This window comes from Homo sapiens, chromosome 1, assembly GCF_000001405.40.
Source record: "Homo sapiens chromosome 1, GRCh38.p14 Primary Assembly".
NCBI classification, from domain to species: Eukaryota; Metazoa; Chordata; class Mammalia; order Primates; family Hominidae; genus Homo; species Homo sapiens.
In genome coordinates this window covers 94,514,544-94,520,729 of record NC_000001.11, presented here as the reverse complement: position 1 = coordinate 94,520,729, position 6,186 = coordinate 94,514,544, and the positions used below count along the sequence as shown (strand labels likewise).

The 6,186-nt window shown below is 33.7% G+C and overlaps 1 protein-coding gene across 8 annotated transcripts in view; it reads right to left on the bottom strand.

Moving 5' to 3' along the window:
* ABCD3 (ATP binding cassette subfamily D member 3) overlaps positions 2,067-6,186 on the bottom strand; it is a 133,533-nt gene continuing 129,413 nt past the window's right edge. For all 8 annotated transcript variants that reach the window (XM_047426556.1, XM_006710802.3, NM_002858.4 and 5 more), the window contains 2 exons: positions 5,528-5,584; positions 2,067-3,678 (listed from right to left, as the gene is read on the bottom strand). In XM_047426556.1, the coding sequence (XP_047282512.1) occupies positions 3,601-3,678; positions 5,528-5,584 (135 nt within the window). In that variant the 3' untranslated portion in view covers positions 2,067-3,600. The remainder of the gene's footprint in view (positions 3,679-5,527; positions 5,585-6,186) is intronic.

The window sequence follows — 6,186 nt, the reverse complement described above, 5'->3', positions numbered from 1 at the left end:
ATAGAACATTATTTAAAAGAGGGCCCAGAGACTAAATAGGCACCTCAAAAAAGAGGACATCTAGATAGCCAATAAACATTAAATGAGTTCAACCTCATTAGTCATCAGGGAAATGCAAAATGAAACCACAATGATGGCTGAAGATACATTAAGTAAAAATAAAAATTAAAAAAAGAACACTGGGAATACCAAATCTTTGCAAGGACTAAGAAGACCAGAATTCTTACACACTTATGGTGGCAGTGTAAAAACTGAACAACTTTGGCAGTGCCAAAGCTGAACACATTCCACTCCAGAAATGCACACACATGTGCACCCAAAGACATGCATAAGAGTGTTTCTATGAAGTGTTCCTAACAGCTCCAAACAGAAAACAACCCAATGCCCATCAATGGGAAGAGGAATACATAGCCTATTCAATATAGAGATGCTGCTGGTCTTACAATGGAGCTGCATCGCAATAAACTCACAGTAAGTCAAAAATACGTTAAGTCAAAAAATGCATTTAACATCCAGGTAAACCCATCATAAAGCTGAAAACTTGTAAGGTGAACCCTCTGTTAAGTCAGGGATGGTCTGCAATTAACCATTATACAGCAATGAAAGTGAAGGAATTATGGTCACACTTACCATGGATCAATCAGCCTCACAATACTGAGGGAAAGAAGCCATACACAGAAGGGTATCTAATATATATAAAGTCCAGAAACAGGCAAAACCAATTTATGTGATAGAAGTCAGGAGCTAATAATTGGAAGAGAACAAGAAGGAGCCTTTAGTGCTGTAACAATGTTCTATTTCATTTGGTGTTTGGGTGTGGTTACCAGTGTGTATGCTTTCTTATAAATTTATCAATGTTTTTGTACATATACTACAATAAAATGTTTACAAATTTAAAAAATGATTTAACTACATGAGGGGATGTGGCAGAAACAAAGGTGGTAGGGAATGTCTAAAATTGATAAATCAAGAAATGGCTATAAAGGCATATTGTTTAAAAAAATGAAATGCAATTACACCAACTAGAAGAGTTTAAAATCGTTGCTCCTAAGGTTTGGAGGGGATTGCTTTTCAGTTTTTTTGGCACTTTCTTAAAGTGACATGCATATGTTATGTATATGGAAATGGTCAGAACATTCCAATTCTTCACAAAGGAAAAATCACTAATGTAGGTTTAAAAAAAAAGAGACAGCTTCCTGCAGCTAACAATGTCAAAGTCCATCTGTTAGAAGAAAATTCATTCTGCTTCTCAGCACAAATTATGATTTTAAACACCAAATTTAAAAGTTAAAACTTTACATAAAGTAATGCCAGATGCTATCATATCACCGGTTTTAAGCCAAATGTTAATCATTCAGAAAGGGGAGAAAGAGACAAATGCTAGATATATTTTATTCTATTAATGCAAAACAAACTACCATTGCTGTTTCATACTTATTTTCTCATTATATAAAAAGTAAAAACTTATTATGAGAACACGGTGATATGTCTTGGCATGCAGCGTGGTGCTCATGGATGAAAGTTCTTATTCTTTGGTTTATTCTTCGGATTAAACTACCATTTCCCACTGCAGTTTCTGGAAGGTGTTAATAGGAATTATGTAGAAAAAGATGTTCCGTGGTCAATCATGTTTTTGAACCAATGGATTTCTTTACTGTGGGTCTTCGAAGAACCACTATTATGTTAATGTGATTCTCCAGAAGGATCTTCCTCTGTGCCTCAAATGGTGAGGCACTGTAATATTTGTTACATAAAAAAGAAAATAATTAAGAAAAAAAGCCCAAATTGTTGTTGTTGTTGTTTTGATGGCAAGAATCATAACAAAAGCAATTATAAGGCAGCTAGGAGAATACTTCTACGAGTAGGTTTAAGGTAACCCAGAAATCTGAAAATCTGAAACTTTCCCATGCCTTAAAATCTTTTCCAAGACGAATAGTATCTTTTAAGGTCTCCTGGCTGTTTGGTAGCATTTGTCAGGTACACAGATTTTACTGAACTTTTCTAAAAGAGAAATTCATTCAATTAAAAACCACACTTGGCAAAACTTTAAAAAAGAGACACTGTGCTAAAAGCATTTTCTGAATTTATTTTTGTGTTTTTCAAGTCAAGATTAAACTATCTATGTTTTCAAGTCAAGGCTGAATTATAAATGAACTTCTCAGTATTTAGATACCAGAATAAAAAGAACAAGCAAAGGTTGTATAGGATATCTGAGTTTTTTTTTTTTTTTTTTAATCTGAACAGAAAATAAGTATACAAGTTCGCTAAACAGAAGTGGTAAAAATTGAATGTTATGTATTATGGAATTCAGTACATCAGTTTACTTCGGTAGCCAGTGATTGTTATAGTTAATTCTGCAAAAAAACAAAACCAGTTATGCAAAAACAAGAGTACAAAATGCCCCTTTCTGAAGCTCAGTTTGAGAAACTGATTTCGTATCTAGCTTATTGATTATACTCAGTTTCAATTCTCCCTGTGCAAATAATACATAAAGTCATTAATGATGATTTGATGAACTGAAATCATCTTCGCTTAGGATCGTTTGACATCATAACCCAAATATAAAAAAGTTATTCAAGATTCACAGAGATAAAACAGTGCCTCGGAAACATAATTCACCCATGTATATATAATAATTTTAGAACATACTTTTTAAACATAAAATCACAGTCAAAGACAGTGATAGCATTGCATACTCAGTGCATTATTTCATGTAGTGCCTTCCTATGGCTCATTTGGAGTTTAATACCAAATAACCACCACACTTCTAATGAATGGGCTTCTAACACACACAAATTTGTCTAATTCTCTTAAAAATCTAGAACTCTTATAAGACCTTGAGCCTGGCATGTTAAGGACTTTGTGTTTTAATATCCCAAACATTGGGAAGATTAGGTGTGATACATGGTAACCCCTCCTTGTAAGCAAGACTGCACATATACTTTAAACAACTCAATACTGCAGACTGAGAGGGGTACATTTATCATTTAGTTAAGGAAAACCAAAATGGCTTTTCCTGGAGTCAAATGCACTCCAAGACACACACAAGGAATGAGTATTACTGTGGCAGCTAAAGAAATCTGCCACTGTATAATAAACGCTGTTATGCAATGATGTTAAACATTTAAATAATACATTATGATTTGTTTCCAACTACCACAGGGCACAGGAAAATGAAACTGAAGACTATCTTGCTAGAACAGGACAAATGATGACCCAGTTTTAAATAGGGTTCTTCACTGAAGGAAAAGATAGAGCCATAAAAGTCCAATTAGCTGACTTCGAATGGTTTACATCCCAGGATGAATCAGGTTACAGTGATTGAAGCCCAATTTAATTTAGGCAGGTTTTTAACCACAAGAATAAGGACATTCTTAGTACATATTATTAATTAAACCAACATATACACAATTAGCAATATCCTATATAATATTAAATGTTTTAACAACTTGTTCTCCATTATTCTGTATCTAGTTAATTTGTTGCTTTGTTTTTTTTTTTAAAAAAAACTAAGCTCAACTTTATTTTACAATGTACTTTGCCTTTCTAAGTATATTCTGTAATTATTTCACTGAAGCAGGTATAGTTCTCCAGATTTCTCTAAGAGCCAAACTCAACTGTATCTTCTGTTATCTGTTTGAATTCATAGTTGCCTCTGCCATCCATATGCAGGTAGTACTATGGGAAAGAAGGGGGAAAAAAAGTCAGTAACTAAGAGTGAATATAGTACTGTCTTTTATGAAAAGTAAAATACAGACTTCCTCATTATTTTAAGGGAGCTAAATCTATAAGCATCCCACAAATCAGAATGCTTCCGTAACTCCATGACCAAGGATCTCAGCTACCAGTAGGTTAAACTGTGCTAAATGCAAGACTGTTCCATAGGTCAGTCAGTATTGTTTCCTGTAGCCTGATTTCCTAATCAGCTTGAAATCTCCAGCTTAAGGCTTTTTATTTGTTTTTAATTTAGTAGAGGGGAAAAAGAGCTATAAAAACTGCCGATATATCCTAACCTCTGAAGACACAACAGCAGTTACAAAGCCTTCTGTTTTTATTTAGTGGCTTATTTTCAGAAAGCTTTCTGAGTTTCCATTTTCTGTATTACTATTTCTTAGCTATCCTGGCCCCTCACATTCTAGTTGTGTTCCCCTCCTTCACATGATCACTGGCGTGATGATTATTTTGCTACTTGTCTATACCTCCAAAAGAAGAGGAAGGGTGAAACCCAAATGCTCTCAATTCCTCTCAATGTCCTATGGCTATAATACTTATGAACTTCCGAGAAAACATAAAGGCTTGGCTATATTTTAAATGCCTTTGATTTCTAGTTATTCAATTTCCTGCTCAGTTCATGAAAAATTGACAAGTTATAATATGCCATAAAATAATAAAAGCTATCTTTAAAAGTCACACAGTTATATAGAATTTCACTGAATTTTATTAAGTACTTTCATATAGGCTACCTGTCTAATTTTCATGGTAATCTAAGAGATAGGAAGGTAAGGCTCAATAACTTCATTATACAAAGGAAGCAACTGAGGCTAGAAACTTTGGTGCCTGAACCCAGGCTCTCTGACTTCAAATCCTATGCTCTTCATTTTATCACTTGTAGACTATCATCTACATCCTAAAGTTCTTGAAGGTAAAAACTGTAATTAATTTGCATCCCTCATGACACTTAGCTCAGTATCTGGCAAAAAAAGGTCCTTAATCAGGTATGTATTTTGTGGAACAAGGCACCTTTACCATTATTCCAATTTTTCTCAAATCCTTGCTTTTACCTAAAATTTCTATATCATTTAGGAAGGAAAAGAAGGAAAGAAGAGAAGAAAGGAAAGAGGGAAGGGGGAAAGACAGAAAGGAAAGAAGAAAAGAAAGGAAGGAAGAAAGGAAGGGAGGGAGGGAGGGAGGAGGAAAGAAAATAAAGAGAATTAAACTGGGTTTACTTTCAGGTTTTGAGCATTTCACATTGAGTTGAAAAGAACTGACATAGTGAGAATGGCACTACTGAAGCACCAGAATAAGTAATACACGTGCACCAATGTAAGCCTCATTTGAATATCTTTGTAAATTATAGTGACTATCTAATGAATCCTACTTACTACAGTACATTGATAAACATAGCTTATGTTATTCAATCTTCCCCCTTGTAGTCCTGACCTCTATTAAAAATGTCCCTAAATTTTTTGCCATCTAATTCTTCTTAAGACTTTTTCTCCTCTGTCACTGCTGGATAAGAAAAGTTTACTTCACCATATTTGTGATAAGACTATGCAAAGTTTAGTCAGTTACTATTAACAGATAAGAGTCACTTATAAAACTGGAGAAAAACTGTTACACCATTGCTTTCAAAACTGACAACTATAATATTTAAGAAAATCCTATTTTATAAAACAAAACCACCTTTTCTCCTTAAGACATATGTTTAAGGGAATACAAACCATAAAATCTAAAACCATATTAACCTGAATTCATATTTTAAAGAAAATAAAATTTCACTGTACCATTCAATGAAAGAAATACAAACCTCATGATGTTTCCAAAGAGATTTCCTATGAGACACAGTGAAGAGAGTGATGCCAACCTAATACAAAGAAAATGATTTAGGTTTAATGAGTAACAGAGTCACAAATTAAACTAGTCCATGTACTTTAAGCTGTTAAGAGGACAGTCTTCAGTGACTAAAGTTAAAAAGCAATGTCAATGAGAAAAAATTTACAACTGGATGCAAAATGTTTATAGCAATGGAAAGTACTGGCCATCAACCACATAATAAAAACTACCAGGTACTGGCATTAAGTGTATTATTTTCTTTTGGGCAAAAAACATATCTCCTATCATGTCTCCTATTTTATTGTGAAAAATATATGAGAGGAATATGAGAAGGATAAAAATAGCCAAAGGTCAAAATCAGGAAAAATTAAATCAGTATAGCATTGTTGACAGTCAACTTGCTTTTCAAATACAGGGTCATAATCCCCTACCGTAAACTACTGTTTTGGAATGTGTCTTGGAATTCAGATTTTGAAAATGTATTATTTAACACCCCCAGAGAGTTCTGAGGCAGAATTTTATAATTAAACACATAAATGTTTCTGTAGCAACACACATGGACACTGATATTGAGACATATAGAGTTTAAATATCTTTTGTTAGCTTAGGCGAAGTTTTACCCAGTGAGCTTGC